This window comes from Homo sapiens, chromosome 17, assembly GCF_000001405.40.
Source record: "Homo sapiens chromosome 17, GRCh38.p14 Primary Assembly".
Lineage (NCBI taxonomy): Eukaryota > Metazoa > Chordata > Mammalia > Primates > Hominidae > Homo > Homo sapiens.
Genome location: NC_000017.11, coordinates 55,579,631 through 55,598,436, shown reverse-complemented (window position 1 = coordinate 55,598,436; position 18,806 = coordinate 55,579,631). Strand labels below are relative to the sequence as shown.

Genomic DNA, 18,806 nt, shown 5'->3' with positions numbered 1-18,806 from the left:
AAGAAAAGAAATGAATAGAATAGAAATAGATAATGAAAATGTAAAATTATCTGTATTCTCATAATCACAGATGACATGATACTATATGTAGAAAACCCTATAGATTTCACAAAAGACTGTCAGAACTATTAAATAATAAACAAATTCAGAAAAGTTTCAGGACACAAAAATCAGTTGTGTTTCTATACACTAATAATGAGCAATCCAAAAAAAAATTAAGCAAACAACCCCATTAACAATAGCATCAACAAAAATGAAACACGTAGGAATAAACCTAAACAAGTAGGCAAAAGACTTGTACACTGAAAACTACAAAACATTGCTAAAAGAAATTCTAAAGACACAAATAAATGGAAAGACATCCACTGTACATGGATTGAAAGACTTAGTATTTTTAAATGTCCATATTACTCAAAGCAATCTACATATTTAATGCAATCTCTATCAAAATTGCAATGGTATTTTTGTAGAAATAGAAAACAAAAATTCTAAAACTCCTGTGGAATCTCAAAGGACTCTGAATAGAAGAAATAATCTTGAGAATAAAAACAAAGCTGAAGGCCTCATACTTCCTAACTTCAAAACACAAACCTACAGTAATCAAAACGGCATGGTACTGGCATAAGGGCAGACACATAGACCAACAGAACAGATAAGAGAACTCAGAAATAACCTTCACATATATGGTCAAATGATGTTCAGCAAAGGTGCCAAGGCTACACGATAGAGAAAAGATAATTTCTTCAACAAATGATGTTGGGAAAACTGTATAACCATGTGTATGTCCTTGCCTTACACCATATATAAATACTAACACAAAATGTATTGAAGACCTAAACATAAGACCTGAACCTATACAACTTCTAGAAGAAAACAGAGAAAAACCTTCATGACTTTGAATTTGGCAGTGGTTTCTTGGATATGACACCAAAAGTAGAGACAACAAAAGCAAAAATAGTCAAATAAGACTACATCAAACTTAAAAACTTCTGTGCAGCCATGGAAATAATCAGCAAAATGAAAAGGCAACCTATGAAATAAAAGAATATATTTATAGCCATATATCTGAGGCAGATTGAGTATATCTTATTTGAAATGTTGAGACCAGAAATGTTTTGAATTTCAGATTTTTTGAGATTTGGGAATATTTGCATTTACATAATGACATATCTTGGGGATGGAAACCAAGTCTATATATGAAATTCATTTACATTTCATACGCACCTTATACACATAGCTGGCAGGTAATTTTATACAATATTGTTAATCATGCATGAATCAAAGTTTTGACTGGTTTTTGACAGTCACCAGTCACATGAGGTCAGGTGTGAACTTTTCCATGTGTGACACCATGTCAATACTCAAAAAGTTTCAGATTTTGGAGCATTTCAGATTTTGAGTTTTTGGATTAGGGATGCTCAACCTGCAATAGGTTAATATCTAAACATATTTTAAAACCCCTGCAACCCAGCAACAACAAGAAATTCGATTAAAAAATAAGCACAGGGCTTGAAAGAAGATAAACAAATGAACAACAAGCATATGAAAAGATGTTCAACGTCACCAATCATTGGAGAAATGAAAATAGAAAGCACAATACTATATCACCTCATATTCGTTAGGATGGTCATTTGTTCTGTGGTGAACATGTCTATGCAAACCTACCTCCAAAAGACTGAGGAAGCTGAGAGGCTGAAGAAAGAGGCTGACATATCCAGTTTCTCAGAAAGAAACATTTAATAGGGATTTACAATGCCATGTCTGTGTCTCAGGCAGCGAGACAAGATGGCGGATCCTGGCACCATCTCTTTTACGATCCAGGGCTTATGTACCATAAAAAATGGTATTCATGGTTCAGAAGAGATGTGTAGGGCAACTGAAGTATGATAACATCAAGGTTGTTTAACCTAAGAGCAGGCTTTACAACAAGTACATGCTCTTACACAAGGAACAATAGATAAAATGAAAATTTATGAGGCCTTCCCAGAACTGGAGTTAATCAGAAGTCAACATGGCAGATTAGCATCCAAGATGCAGTTGCTTTTGCCCCCATGTCATTAACCACAAATAAGCAAACCAAACAAACAAACAGAAAAGAGAAAATAACAAGTTTTGGAGAAGATATCAAGAAACTGGAATCCTTGTGCATTATTGGTAGGAATTTAAATGGTCACTGGGCATGGTGGCTCACGCCTGTAATCCCAACACTTGGGAGGCTGACGCAGGTGGATCATTTGAGCACAGGAATTCAAAACTAGCCCATGCAACATGGCAAAACCCCATCTCTACTAAAAATATTAAAAAATTAGCTGGGCCTGGTGGCATATGCCTTAATCCCATCTACTCAAGTGGCTGGGGTGAGAGGATCACCTGAGCCTGGGAAATCGAGGCTGCAGTTAAGCCATGATCATGCCTCTGCACTCCAGCCTGGGCAGCAGGAGTAAGACCCTGTCTCTAAATACATAAATAAAATGGTGAAGCCACTTTGAAAAACAGTATGGAGAGTCCTCAAAAATTAAAAATAGAATTGCCATATGATCCAGCAACCCCACTCCTCAGTACAGATCCAAAAAAAAAAATACTGAAAACATGATCTTGAGAGAATATTTTGCATACCCATGTTCATTATAGCATAATCACAATAGCCAAGAGTTGGAAGCCACCTACAATATACATCAACAGATAAATGGATGAAGAAAATGTGGTATATACAAACAATGAAATATTATTTGCCTTAAAGTAGAATGAAATCCTGTCACATGCAAAAACAAAAGTGAACCTTGAGGACATTATGCTAAGTGAAATAAGCCAGTCACAAAAAGACAAATACACCAAAATTCCACTTATATGAGGTATCTAAAATATTCGAACTCTTAGAAACAGAAAGTTGAATGGTAGTTCCCAGGGCCTGAGGGGAGGAAGAAAAGGAGAGTTGTTGTTTCATAGATATAGATTTTCCGTTTTACAAGATAAAAAAAGTTCTAGAGAGCTGCTGCCCAAGATGAATAAAGTTAACACACTATACTGTACACTTTAAAATGGTTACAATATTAAATGTTATGTTATGTATTGTTGATCACAATTTTAAAAATAGCTACAGTTGACTAACTGGGTGCGGTGGCTCACACCTGTAATCCCAGTACTTTGGGAGGCTGAGGCAGGAGGATCACTTGACATCAGGAGTTCGGGACCAGCCTGGCAGACATGGTGACATGGTGAAACCCTGTCTCTACTTAAATAAATACAAAAATTAGCCAGGTATGGTGCCGCATGCCTGTAGTCCCAGCTACTCGAGAGGCTGAGGGAGAAGAATTGCTTGAACCTAGGAGGCGGAGGTTGCAGTGAGCCAAGATCGCACCACTGCACTCCAGCCTGGGTGACAGAGTGAGACTCTGTTTCGGAAAAAAAAAAAAAAAAAAAAAAAAAGGAGTAGCTACAATCCAAGACAAAGAGAAATTACATCCGTAATAACCCAGAATTAAAAGTCTAGATCAGTGATTCTCAAAGTATAGTTCCTAAACCAGCTGCATTGGCATCACTTAGGAATTTACTAGAAATGAAAATCCTCAGGTTCCACCCCAGACCTACTGAATCAGAAACTCAGGTGGGGTCCCAGCAATCTGTGATTTAACAAGTCTTCCAGATAATTTGAATATACCATTAAAGCTTGAGAATCACTAGTCTTGGTCAGCTATTTTTAAAGTGTGGTTTGTGAGACCCTTTCAAGTCATCCATGAGAGCAAAACCATTTTCATAATGCCAAAATGTTATTTGCCTTTTTGCTCTCCCTCATGAGCGTGTAGTGGAGTTTTCTAGAGACTAATTTATGAAATTATAAAAAAAAAGGAATGTAATAGCAAATATGAGAATCCAGCTGTCTTCTCTAAAGCAGAATTTTTTTTAATTGGCTGCAATGCAAAATGATGCCCCTCTTGTTTGGGAAAATATAGTTATTTTTAAATAAAAATATATTACTTATGCTCTCATGTAGTGGTTTTTTCAATGAATTAATGAATATTTTAAATTTTCTTAGTTTTACTTTTTAATATAAGTTTTCATAGATATAACTCTCATAAACAAAACGTTTTTGGAATTCCCAATACTTTTTAAGGGGATAAAGAGCTTCTGAGACTAAAACTTTGAACTATTGGTCTAAGTATTATCAACATAATGGAAGATGGGAAACAGTGTATATGAGAGTAAGCTAACATCCTGTTATAAAGGGGTATAAAATAAGAAAGGATTAAAAAGAAACTTTAGTTAGATAAACAGAAATTTAAAAATTTGATGGCAAAACAGATACAAGTATATTAATAATTGCAACAAATGGACTAACTATTCCAATTAAAAGACAAAGACTTTCAGACTGGATAAACAAAAGATACAAATCTGTGTTACTTATAAGAAACACAGATAATACCATTTAGAAATTAAGCAATTAATATTGAAAGTACAAAAATGGGGCCGGGCGCGGTGGCTCACGCCTGTAATCCCAGCACTTTGGGAGGCCGAGGTAGGCAGATCACGAGGTCAGGAGATCGAGACCATCCTGGCTAACATGATGAAACCCCGTCTCTACTAAAAAATACAAAAAAAATTAGCTGGGGGTAGTAGTGAGCGCCTGTAGTGCCAGCTACTCGGGAGGCTGAGGCAGAAGAATGGCTGAACCCAGGAGGCGGAGTTTGCAGTGAGCAGAGATCACGCCACTGCATTCCAGCCTGGGTGACAGAGCGAGACTTCGTCTCAAAAAAAAAAAAAAAAAGTACAAGAATGGGAACATACCATGCAAACACTAACCAAGAAAAAGGTGACATGGCTATATTCTCGTCACTCTAATCAGACTTTAAGGTAAGAATAACTATTAGAGATAAAAACATTTCGATTAATGATAAAAGGTTCAATTCAACAGGAAGATATGCCAATTCTTAATCTGTATACACCTAATAGTTGAGCCTCGATATAAAGCAAAAAAAATGACAAGACTTGCATGCAATATCTACAAATCTAAAATTATACTAGGAAATTTTAACACACATTTTGCAGTAAATGAGATCACAGGCAAAAATAAATGGGTAAGAATATAAGTGATTTGAAAAATGTAATTATCAAACTTGTCCCAATTTTTATGCATTGAGCAATTACTCCAAAATTTTCCAAGACCCATTCATTCTTCCCAGTTTTCTTGGGAATTTAACAAATATTGTCATATGCCAGTTTACAGAACAAGTTTCAAAAATTTCAAAGGATTGTAGTAATCTAGAGTATGTACTCTGGCCATAGTGGACTTAAGTTAGAAGTATGTAATAAAATCCCTATATGTTTGGAAATTAAGCAACTAATTTCTAAAAACTTAACGGAGCACAGTAGAAATCACAATAGAAATTAGAAAATATTTTGAAATTATACTAATGAAAATATGACATATCAGAATTTGTGAGATGAAGACCCTATTGAATAGAAATGTACAACATTACATGCACATATTAGAAAAGAAGAAAGGCTGAAAATCAAATAGCTAAGTATTAAGTTAGTTTTTAAGACTAGCAAATTAAACCCTCCCAAAATTTTTAGACACAATTTTTAAAAGAATAGAAATAATGAACTAGAAAACAAACAAACACTAAAGAGTTTCAACAAAGCCACAGGTTGATTCACTGAAAATACTTCTTAGTAAGATTGATAAATGCCTAGCTAGATCAATTTTTTGAAAGATTAAAAGCAACAGGAATGTTAAAATGGACATCGCTACATATCACACAGATATAAAACAATTATGAATAATTTTATACCAATATATTTGAAATTTTAAATAAAAGGAACAATCCTAAAAAAATTATATTGTGCAAGCTAGTATAAGAAGATATAGTTTCCAAAATAAATGCAAGAAAGATATAGAAAATACATCTTCTGGACATTGGCCCAGTCAAAGAATTAATGACTAAGACCCCAGAAGCAAATGCAACAAAAACAAAAAATAAATAAATGGGACCTAATTAAACTAAAAAGCGTCTGCACAGCAAAAGAAATAATCAAAAGAGTAAACAGACAACTCACAGAGATGGAGAAAATATTTACAAACTGTGTATCTGACAAAGGTCTAATATCCAGAATCTACAAGGAACTCAAACAAATCAGCAAGAAGAAAAACAAATAATCCCATGAAAAAGTGGGAAAATGACATGAACAGACATTTCTCAAAAGAAGATATATGCAAATGACCAACAAACATGAAAAAATGCTCAACATCACTAATCATCAGAAAAATGCAAATTAAAACCACGAGATACCATCTTACCCCAGCCAGAATAGCTATTATTAAAAAGTCAAAAAACAAGAGATCTTGGTATGTATGTGGTGAAAAGAAAATGCTTATACACTGCCGGTGGGAATGTAAGTTAGTACAGCCACTACGAAAAACAGTATGGAGATTTCTCAAAGAACTAAAAATAGGTCTACCATTTGATCCAGCAACCCCACTACTGAGTATCTACCCAAAGGAAAAGAAGTCATTGTATCAAAAGACAACTACACGTATATGTTTATGGCAGCACAATTCACAATTGCAAAGATATGAAAGCAATCTAAGTGCCCATCAACCAATGAATGAATAAAGAAAATGCGGTATATATATACACCATGGACTACCATACAGCCATAAGAAAGAATGAAATAATGTCTTTTGCAGCAACTTGGATGGAGCTAGAGGTAGAGGCCATTATTTTAAGTGAAGTAACTCAGAAATGGAAAATCAAAGACTGTATGTTCTGACTTCTAAGTGGGAGCTAATCTATGGGTATGCAAAAGCATACAGAGTGGTATAATGGACATTAAATACTCAGAAGTAAGGAGAGTAGGAGGGGGATGAGAGATATAAACTTACATATTGAGTACAGTGTACACTACTCGAGTGACGGGTGCACTAAAATCTCAGACTTCACCACTATACAATTCATCCATGTAACCAAAAAAACCACTTGTACCCCAAAAGGTATTGAAATAAACATATACATATATGTTTATATGTACAAATGTCCTGTACTCATTAAATAAGTTGAATACTAATTAATAAATGAAGAAAAACCTTAGGCCCTGGTATCTTCACCAGTGAATTTTTCCAAACATTTAAGAAAGAAACAAAACTAGTCTTAGCTAAACTCTTCCAGAGAGTAGAAGAGAAAACAATTATAAACCCATTTTTAAGCCAATAGAATCTTGATATAATACTAAGCTAAATGCACCAAGGATTTATGAAGAAGGAAATGTATAGGCCAGTCTCTTACTCATGTACACAGATCCAAACATCCTCAACAGAGTATTAGTAAATCCAATTCTGCAATCTCCCAAAAAGAATAACCAAGTTGCGTTTATTCTGGGCGTGCCCTGTTGTTTCATACTAAAGTTAACCAATACGATTCCGCAAATTAAGAGAATAAAGAAAAATAAACTCATATAATCACCTTAATAGATGAAAAAGATATCATAAAACTTTTTAGTATTATATGAATAATTTTTAAATCTTTAGCAAACTGGAATACAAGGGAACTTCCTTAATCTGATAAAGGCTATCTAGAAAGAATGAGAGGGTGAGCATCTACCACACACGGGGACAGGAGAGAAAAATGGTTCATAATGCCAGCTATGCAGTTTGGAACCTTAGGGTGGGTGGGACTTATTCTCAGCCAACACTCAGTTTTTCTGGACTACCTTTTCATCTCATTAATTCATATCCCTTCAGAAAACTCAAGGCCACTTTGATGGAAGATCAAGTGACCTATTTCTCTCTATTCTTATACATACCTGACCCATGCTTCGCATATAGTCACATCATGTCTGTTAGAAACAGTAATTCAGTAGATCATAATCCCTAAAACATCACTACTAAGTTTTATTATTCTTCCCTATCCACTGTCATTGGAGTGGAATGTTTCTTTTTTTTTTTTTTTTTTTTTTTTTTTTTTGCAAGTGGGAGTTAAATCTCTCATCTGGACCATAGTGTGTTGACTTCGCTCTTCCCTGTACCCATTAAATTAACTAAGCAATAATTTCCTGACTGGGGAAGTAATCGGGATAGCTTCACTTTCCCAGGTTTCCTCCCTCCTTTTTGGTGTGTTAGGTTTGTGTTTTGCTCTTTTCCCTTCTCTCCTCTTGTCCCTCTATCTGATTTGGCTGAGGATTATTTTTACTTTTTCCCATCATTCTTTCAGCTTTATCTACTTGGAAATATCAGTCAACCAAAGTTTAAGTGGATGGAAGTCTTATCCTATGATTTTAAAGCTTTCATAAGCTAAAGTTCTATGTCCAACATTATTACATTTAAAGAAAATAACAAAGAGTTTGAAATTACAAGGGAGAGTGTAATCTTCACATTCCTAGCCACCATAACTCTGGAAAAACACACATCTTTTGTTCCTGATTCAAAATATTAATTTCCTACAGAGCTCCCAGCTTCATAAATTCACAGCTTCCTTGGGAAAATCCCCATAACACTAGAAAGCCACTTTATCCTGTTTCAGTGAACATAGTTGTTAAGGAGGCTTGCATAGAAAAAAAGGAAACCAAAATATTTAAGGACTGGTTTTAGCATTAATTACATAATTTATAAATTATCTTACATAGTTATGAATTCTGAACAATTCTGAAGGGCCTAATCCACTTAGCCCTTAACTCTGCTAACATGCAGGTCTACTTATCTATAAAGAGAGGCAACAATTTGAACATTGCTATGGACATCTGTAGACATCTTTCAGTGGGAAGCTGAAAAATTTTCACTATAGGAAGACATTACCATTTCTGGCAATGGTCAGATCACCAGATTCCAGGGGGAGGTCAGGTAAGTGGACTTTTCTTTTTCTCTCCCTCTTATCCACTCCTTTTTTCTCTATCCCAACTCCACTAATTGAAAATGGTAGTAAGTAGATACCTTGGAGCCTCTAGCCCTCTGACTACAATAAGTCCTGAAATCATCTTTACATCACTAGAAAAGAGATATTTGCCTCCTGGTGGTTTAAAGCAACAGCATCAAGACTTCCTCTGCTTTCTTTGAGTTCTGTACAACTGGAGTCAGATTCCTTGAGGAGGAGGGGAGAGAGGACCATATAATGAGTAGATAGACCAAAGTCAGATCATAGGAAGGCAAGTTGGTGCAAATGCTTCCTCAGCCCTCTCTTCATTTCTTCTGCATTTGGAGATTTTGTTACAACTCGAGTTCCCTTTCTCTCAAATGAAAGCCTAGTGTGGAGCATAGGTTTTTCAAGATACGAGGGCAAAAGCATACTAATTAAACCCAGCTGTTGGCCTCTGCTCTCCCTCCATGAATCTGGCCTTACATCAGAAGTCTTACATTTGGGGAAAGGAGGGCTGGTAACTCCAAGTGCACAGGGGAAGGGAAGTTTGATTTTCATGTAAAAAGCACAGAGGGATTTTTGAAGCCATAATCCTTTGTTTAGCTGCGTTGTAATAGATAGTATACTTGCTTTGCAGCAAAAGGATTTAGGGCTTTCCAAAGGGTTGAGAGGTCTTGGAACACGTCTCCACTGCAGGCTACAAAATCATGTTGTCAAGAAACTTGAAATAATATAAACAATAATTATAAAATCCACATGCCACTTGGAAAAGGGATGTGGTAAGAAGAAAATGAGATAATATCAGTTAAGTACTTAGGAAGTAACAGGGACCTGTAATAGCAGCAGTAATTGTCCCTATTGTATAAATTTAATGTTTATTTTCCTATGCTGTTCTTCATTAGAGGTAACAAGTCTTGATGTTTTGTTAATACTAACCCTTCCAAGGCCATCAAGACACTGTACATAACTTATGTTACATCATCATCCTCATTTCCTTGGCAATATTCATGAATTCATTCAACAAATATTTACTGAATACCTGTTACATACCAGGCTAAGTACTAAATGCTGGAGGTTCAAAGATGGGCAAGATCTGGTCCTTGCTCTTAAAAGGCTTACAACTGAGTTAGAGAAACAGACACATGAACAACTAACTCAAACATAAAGCAGAGAGAGGTAAACACACCAATAGTGAAGAGGTTAAGGTGAAGATTCTTGCAAAGCAGCGCTGGAGAGTTACAAAGCAAGCAGCCAATTCAAACTAGGAGGGGACAGGGAAGGGAGTTAGAAAAAACTTCCAGGAATAGAGGAAGTTTGCACTACCTTCCTAACTGAATGAGGACTTGGTGTCCACCAAATCAAAGAGAGAGAATTGGGTAAGAGAGTAGCCTAAACAAGGTAGGGAAAGCCACAGGACCATGGGTCACCAAGACGTCTTAGTACAATGGCAAATCATATCTGTGCCTCGAACCAGGGAATGGGAGGAGTTCAGGCAGGAGTGGAGGAGTAGGCTGGAACCAGATCATAAAAGACCTTGTTTGTGCCTTGTCGTACTCCCACCTCTTCGTGGCCAAAGAGAGGCGGCCAGCCAGATACTAAGGAGCAGCTCGAGGCATGAGATCACAAGCACATAAGCACAGAAACCCCATTATACGAGCTTCCAGAGGGGACACCAAACAGTCCAGAGATACTCCAACTCACAAGTCCAGTTCCAAAACTCAGGAACTTGGACTTTTGTTTTTGCTGCAGGGCTGGATTCAGAGAGCACACAATGCCCAGTGTTGAAAGCCCCTTTTTGGAAGGAAGAACAGTTGCACATCTGGGAAAGGTTAGGGTCAAACATATAAATGAGGGGAGCGGAGCACATTACTCTGAGACACTCCGTCTGTGACGTCAATCACTGCTGGGTTTGGACAGAGGCTCTCTCTTGTGCAGCAGTCAGGGACCCATTAACTTTGCCCAGTGCCTGAGTGTTTATGTGGAAAATGTGAGGCCAGGAAGTCTCTCCTAATTATGATTTGGAGGTTGTCAAGCAGCTATTCTTTAGTAATTGGTTTCTGTCTTTTCTACCTTCCCAGCACCACTCAGTTTCTATTTTCTCTTTTGTTCTAGCCCTATTTCTCTCTTTCTCCTTCTCATCTGCTCTTAAAAAAAAAAAAAATCCATTATAGACCTTGGTGATTGCCTCCACTCTTCTCCTCTCCATGGCTGCAGGCCCAGCTGGGAAGTGAATTTTCAGAGCACATAGTCACATATAACATAGTGAGTGTCTGATTATCGATTACTTTCTTTTTCAAACTTCTGGGAGCAAGCCATACTCTACACAGGCACCAGCATGGCCACTCTCCACTGCCAAGTCATAAAGAGACAGGAAATTGGGCCAGCACCATCTCTTACCCTCTCTGGTATCAACCAAATCTAAAGAAAAGGATGGCAGATGCCAAAATCTGTATGTAGGAAAGTGTTCTCAGCCCGTATTTTTCCTCCCTATTCTTACCTCTATCCTATCCCAACACACCCAAGGCCATTATCACATACTCAGATAATAACTTGGAGAACTAAAAACCTGCATCTTGTCACTACCATTATTCTATGTTCTTCTGGGCCAGTGTGAGACACCCCAGTGCTCCACTGCCAACTCCAAGGGAAAAAATTGTTAACATCCCCTTATAACAAGTGATCATCTATATACAGATGACCCACTTTAAGAATGACTGACGATTGACAGTGCAGTTTAAGTTCAAGTCTACCTTTATGTTTGCTCAGCTACTTTCCCCACCACCCATTGATCAGCCTCCTCCTCACTAAGTGCTGCTGGGAAGCCTGAGAAAGGCAGAGAAGAGTAAAAACACTTGGAAAACACAAACAAAATTTAATGATAAAAATTTAATGATGCCAGCATCAACCAAGCAAGAACTGAAAGGCAAATAAGAAAGAGAGAGAGAGAGAAATATGTATATATTATTATTCATATTTCTATATATATACAATATACATTCATATATACAATATACATATATAGTATGTATATATACACATACATATACACACATGTATATATACACATACATATACACACACTATATATGTATATATACACACAATATATATGTATATTTATATATATGCACACACACTATATATCAGAGAGAGTGAGAGGTCTATACAGATACCAATATGGTTTGGCTGTATCCCACCCAAATCTCATACTGAATTATAATCCCCGTAATCCCCACATGTCAAAGGAGGGGCCTGGTGGGAGGTGATTGGATAATGGGAGCAGTTTCCCCCATGCTGTTCGCATGATAGTGAGTGAGTTCTCATGAGATCTGATGGTTTTATAAGGCAGTTTTCCCTGCTCTGGCTGGCTCTTCTCTCCTGCTGCCATGTGAAAAAGGTCCTTACTTCCCCTTCACCTTCCACCATGATTGTAAGTTTCCTGAGGCCTTCCCAGCCATGTGGAACTGAGTCAATTAAACCTATTTCCTTTATAAACTACCCAGTTTCAGGTAGTATCTTTACAGAAGTATGAAAACAGACTAATGCAGATATTTATTACCTAATTTTTAATTTATATTTTATTGATGTAAATGTTACATTTGATAATGTACACGTATCTTCAATAAACACCTTGGTAAATTTCCGTGCATGTGCACACACATGTGTATGTGTGTATGAATTAAACAAAGCTGTTTATCTATCTGTCTATCTAACTATAAAGCTTCCTTCATAACCTGCTCAATCAATACCCACCACTGGAGGGAACCACTATGCTGACTTCTGTCATCATGGATTAGTTTTGTCTGTCTTTGTCATCATATACATTGAATCATACAGTATGTACTCTTTTTGCCATCTGGCATCTTTTGGCCAATATAATATTTGTGAGATTTCCTCTTTGTTACATTTAACAAGATCTCTTTCATTGCTGTGTAGTATTCCATTATATGAATATACCACAATTTATCCATTCCACTGTTCAATCACTTAATTTTGAAAATATTATTAGTTCTTTAGGACAACCTGGCCTACTCATCTCCTTCAGTCAGGTACTAACTACACTACAGTAGACTCTACACCAGTGGTTTACAACCTCAGTTGTATGTTGGCATCATTTGAATACATTTTTACATTACTGTGGCTTTTAACTGTAGCTAGATGCTCATGGGGATCACGGAAACCTCTGTGAGAAGACATATCTCCCAAGAATTCCTATAATAATTCAAAGATTTATTTATTTTGATTTGGATTAGAGAATTTAAAATGTAATTATTTTATTTACATTTTATATAAATATATTTTATAGAAAATGTATTTATTTTATTTGTAATTAATTTATTGAATTATTCTGTGCTTATGTAGCATGATGTGGAGATGATGATGATGATGATGACATACATTACATGTTCATGCTTCCTGTACACCAGGCACTGTGCTAAGCACCATACACTTGCACTCTCTAGGTGGCTCACTATTGAAATCCCAGTACCTTGCACTATGGCTGGCACATAGCAGGTGTTCAAAATTTACTACGTAAGCAAATTTAAGTTGATCTCCACAACAACCTTTTGAAATGAGTTTCATTCTCTCTATTTTAAGAAGAAGAAAATTAAATGTCAGAAATTTAAAAACTTACCTGAAGTTACTGAGCACAAACATGGGGAAAAGTAGGAATCAAATCCAGGTTTTCACCATTCTACTAGTGTATCCTTGCATAAGGCCTAAAGATATGGCCTTTCTGGTAAGGTAGGAATAGGAGGAGAGCAGTGTTGATCCCAGATCAGAATTTGGATGACCTGGGTGGAATCTGAAAGAAATTTAGATACGAGGAAAAAGTGGGGTGCTTGTTTTCAATAACAATTGACTATGGGCAAGGCACCTTGCTCACTGGAGTGGGAAGGGTGAGGATATCTATTAATTTTCAACAACCTCTATAAGTTTGTTTTATTATCTCCACTTTATAGGTGAGGAAACTAAGGCTTCAGGACATTAAATATTATACAATACAAGGCCATGAGTTCACAAAAGTTGTGTAAGCACAGTTCTGAACTAGGTCTATCACATTTCCAGGTCCATGCTCTTTCTACTGCATCCTGCTGACAAGAAGGGAAAGTGTGGGAACTGATGGAGGTTCAGCAGGCTCTGTTGTCAGCCCAACAAAAGCACCAAAGAAGGTAGGAGGAAAATAGAAATTGAAATAATACATAAAGTTACAGCTTTTGTTTACTGAACACTTATGATATGCTAGAGAATGTACTAGGATTTTTCATGCGTTATCTAATTAATCTTCACAACAATCTCTGAGGAAGGAAGTATTTTTATTCCCGCATTATAGATGAGTCACTGAGAGTTAGAGAGGTCAAATCACTTACACAATCACTGTTACTAAACAGCCAAGCCAAGATTAGAAGTCAACCATTTGGCACCCAATTGCACACTCTTAACCCCTATGCTACCTGGACTCTTGAGGCAGAGATTGGGTAGAAGCAAAGCACCTACCCATGTGGGTAGAAGCAAAGCACCAGGAGAAGTTCCAGGAAGCTGTGGTATACCAGATCTAAGAGAACTCTAGGTCCAAGGCCAATCCATGGCATGGAGGTTAAATCTGTAGACCTGTGGTCATGACCTAAAGGTGATAGGTGAACCTAGGGACCAAACAGTGTATTTCCAGGGATCAAGATGGTTGAAAATGAAATATAAACAGTATGAATACGTTTTCAAGAATAGATAATGACCTTAAAAGTTGCAATTAGGTGAGGTTCCAGCTCCCTGGTTCTCCCAAACAAAAGAAAATCAGGAATAAGTTAAAGAATGTTTTAAGCCTAAACCAATATATTGATTGTTGTGAGATGCTGAACTGAGGACACTCCTTTAGGCCACCTAATAGAAGTGGTGAGATATCCTTGTGTTCATCACCTGTGCTTCTCAGACTTAACAATTTGCACTTAAAAATGTCAGCCTTACCTCAGCTCGACTATCTACTAAGACATGTGTATTTGTAATAGGCAACCTTAAATAGCTACATTCCAGACACTTCGTGGGGTTTATAATCTTGGAGAAGATAGTCTTGTGGAGTACTCTGCTGCCAAATACCTACCAAAAGCCTATCAGAGCAAAACAAAATTTGAGAATTATTTTTAGAAATAAAAACAGAATCTTTAATTAATCTGATTATAAAAATAACACATTTACTGCATGCATACAATCCCCGTGCCAGCTGTGGTCTCCTGTATTTTAAGATTAAAAAAAGATTGTATGAACCCCTTCTTTTTGCCTTGAGGTAAAATCCATTATCTTCCCCGTGATTTCAATGAAATACTACAAGGTTTACATGCCTGTAATCACCAATGGATCTGTCTTCTGGCTTTCTCTGAATCTTTGTTCTTTACTGTGCCTTACTCTAATTCCAGTCTGGTGTTGATCTACATGCAAAAATCAGTTACATTCTTCTTGTACAAGTTCTTGGTGTGTGCAACAGACTATAATAAACAGACATGGCAGCAATGCAAATAACTAAAATCCACCACATCACTGAGTCATACTCATTTCTCCTTTCTCTTGCTCCCACCCTCAAATTTTCTCTACTCTTCTTCCACCCTCAAATTCCTTTGCATTTCCAATGCACAGTGAGTTAGTTGTCTCTTGCGCGATTTTGTATCTTGCTAACCCAAGTCCTCGGTGCCACACTTTCTTCTCCTAGCAGCTTATAAAGGTATTTTATGAAAGAAATACAACACTTTTTTAAAGATGAAATCTAGTGCCTGCCAGTATGATTTTTTAACCTCACTGTTAGAGCTATGCATTGTTAATCTCCAAGAAAGGAATCACATGTGGCTATTTGCAAATATTTGAACTTTTGTTTCCTTAGCGCATCCTTCAGCCCTAATTACCATGGAAAACACTGGAAAATGCTGGATGAATCCCATTAGTAAATAAAACAAAAACCCTAGAAAGAAACAGTTTTATAACAGTGGTATCCTATATCTCATGACCAGTCCCTTAGACAATAGGAAATTTGTTCACACTCAGTAGCATAGCCAAGGGACAAAAGCATTGAGAAAAATCAAAGGCACTATCACCTCTCTAAAAGTAAAATACTTAGAAAGGAAACATTCTTCCAAGCCATAATACAATGAGTATGACCTAGGTAAAATATCCTTTTCCTACTGGCTGTGATCTACTCAGTCTTAAAATTCTGGGAAGGTGATTTTCTTAATGAAGTCATCATAGAATTCTCTACTTCAGAAAGGTTAAGTGCTATAATTTCTTACCTCTACACTCCTGTAGTGCATTACTCATACAGCTAGCAGGGCCCTTAATGAATTGCAGTATTGTTCATTATCTGTTCCTCTTCTGCGCTCCTAACTAGATGGAGAGTTCCCTGATGTCAGGGAATGTGGTACTGCACTTCTCAATTGACATGAATGAAAATGAAATTATTATTTGGATTGTCCAGTTAAATGAAAGTATAGAAACTACTTTTACAGGCCGGGCGCGGTGGTTCACACCTGTAATCCCAGTCTTTGGGAGGCTGAGGCAGGTGGATCACCTGAGGTTAGGAGTTCAAGACCACCCTGACCAAAATAGTGAAACCCCATCTCTACTAAAAATACAAAAAATAAAATAAATTAGCTGGGCATGGTGGCACATGCCTGTAGTCCCATCTACTCATGAGTCTGAGGCAGCAGAATCTCTTGAACCCAGGAAGCAGAGATTGCAGTGAGCCAAGATCATGCCACCGCACTCCAGCCTGGGTGACCGAGCAAGATTATGAGAAAGAAAGAAAGAGAGAAAGTGAGAAAGGGAGGAAGGAAGGAAGGAAGGAAGGAAGGAAGGAAAGAAGGAAGGAAGGAAGGAAATTTTACAATAAGTAAAAAAATGTTTAAAACTTTCAGCTGCCTAGAAATCTCCACATCTTTTCAGTTTCCCATAAACTTTCAGTAAGCTTTTTTGAGGACTCAAAAAATTCAGCAATTAACTTCTTTAGCTTAAAAATGACAAGATAAAGTCCAAGTGGAAATAAAAAAGAAAAACTTGAACTTTCAAACATTCAACTATAAGCCAAAGGAAATATAGTTAGCAACAGATCAAATAAAAATAAGAGCAAGAGGAAGAAGTTGGAAATGCTAAATTATACCATTTTTAATTATTTCAAAGTTTAATTTTGCTAAATGCATACAGATATCATAGGTATAAATTTAGTAAACTAATAGGAGAAATTGAACAGACATTTTGAATAGCGGAATATTAATAATTAATGTAAAACACATATAACCAATAGCATATATTTTTTCATTGTTTAGAGAAGATAAATTATTTTCAGACTTCCAGAAAAAGTTTGGATTACACAAACTAAAATATTTTAAAATAAAGAAAAAATTATGAAACAATAGTTAAAAGAACAAATGAATGGAGTGTTAAGATTATGTAAAGGATTTATCATAAAAATTAGTAGTAGTCATATATTAAGAATTAAACACAAGCTCCAAATCAGCAAAATGCCCATATTAATAACAGAAAAAATGAAATACCCATATACCCATAGCAAAAATGACAAAAACAAAGTCATTTACTTAAAATATGTGGGGAAATCTCAGCTCTCTACATTTACTGGAGATGCAAATCAAACTTGTAAAAAGGTATCACTTTCAAAATTGGTGGATGGAGCAATGAAATGACAGTTTCATAGTCATAATAATAAGTCACAATAAATAGTTTAATGTGGCTGTTGTACAGAGGGCAGAGTGGCGGAAATGGTACTAATACTTTCTGTTTTTCCTCTCTTCCTAAGTTTCCTGGCTGACATTTTACTACATCATCACGTACGGCGAACTGGATTGTGAATGCCCTTAGATGCCATTGGAAGGGATTTAGATTTCACTTTCTAAGTAGGCAATGCGAGTCCATTCAGAGATTGTGAAGTGGAAGAATATCATGATCAGATCTGTGTGGCTGATGAATAGAGACAAATCTGATGTCTGGGGTTATATTATTGAGATTCAATAAATGCTAATTCTATACTTACTTATTGAGTGCCTAATATGTGCAAAACTTCATGCTGAGGAATAAAGCATAAAGAAAATAGATGAAGTTCCAATCCTCATGAATCGTCTTGTCCAGTGGGGTCATTACTGTAGTCCATAAAAAAGATTAATTAAATCAGATGAGAAACCTGAGAATCAAAGAATACTTGGCCTAACCATAGTGCCAGTGATTATTTTATGCAATCCTCTCACATTTACAGAAAATAAAGACGCAGCTAAGAAAGAATCACAGTTCTAACTTGAGTTTAGCGGCTGCATATTTGGATATGGGCTATAATTTCAGATAATTTCAGACTTGGGAATCTGTGATACAGAAATTTAGGCATGAACCTTAAACAAAGTATTCCCATGAATTATAGTTGCTCAGTGGTATTTATCTTATCAGAATTTCTCATCAGTGAGGAATAATATGCAAGATACAACAAAGAGCAATTTTGAAAAGGCACGCAATGGTGCTACTTTTTACCTTAAATTTACATAAAAATACACAGGCTGGGCACAGTGGCTCACACCTGTAATCCCAGCGCTTTGGGAGGCCGAGGCAAGTGGATCACTTGAGGTCAGGAGTTCAAGAACAGCCTGGCCAACATGGTGAAATCCTATATCTACTAAAAATATAAAAATTAGCCAGGGGTGGTGGTGTGCACCTGTAATCCCAGCTATTTGGGAGGCTGAGGCAGGAGAATCACTTGAACCTGGAGGCAGAGGTTGCAGTGAGCTGAGATCGCACCACTGCACTCCAGCCTGGGCAACAGAGCAAGACCCTGTCTCAAAAAAAAAAGGACAGATAAATGTAGATATAGATATAACTAGACTTTTCATTTGCATGGTAACATGATGATTGTAGAAGGCTATGCACAGAGAGGCTATGTCAGCCAGGAAGCTTAGGAAGAGAGGAAATACAAAAAGAGCACTGGAA

General features: G+C 36.7%; 1 long non-coding RNA gene across 1 annotated transcript; it reads left to right on the top strand.

The window, feature by feature from the left end:
• Positions 1-8,633: 8,633 nt before the first annotated feature.
• On the top strand, positions 8,634-17,867 carry LOC102724732 (uncharacterized). Its single transcript, XR_429997.4, has 3 exons — positions 8,634-8,830; positions 13,914-14,017; positions 17,635-17,867. It is a non-coding gene; the product is annotated as an uncharacterized LOC102724732 (long non-coding RNA).
• The last annotated feature ends 939 nt before the right edge of the window (positions 17,868-18,806 follow it).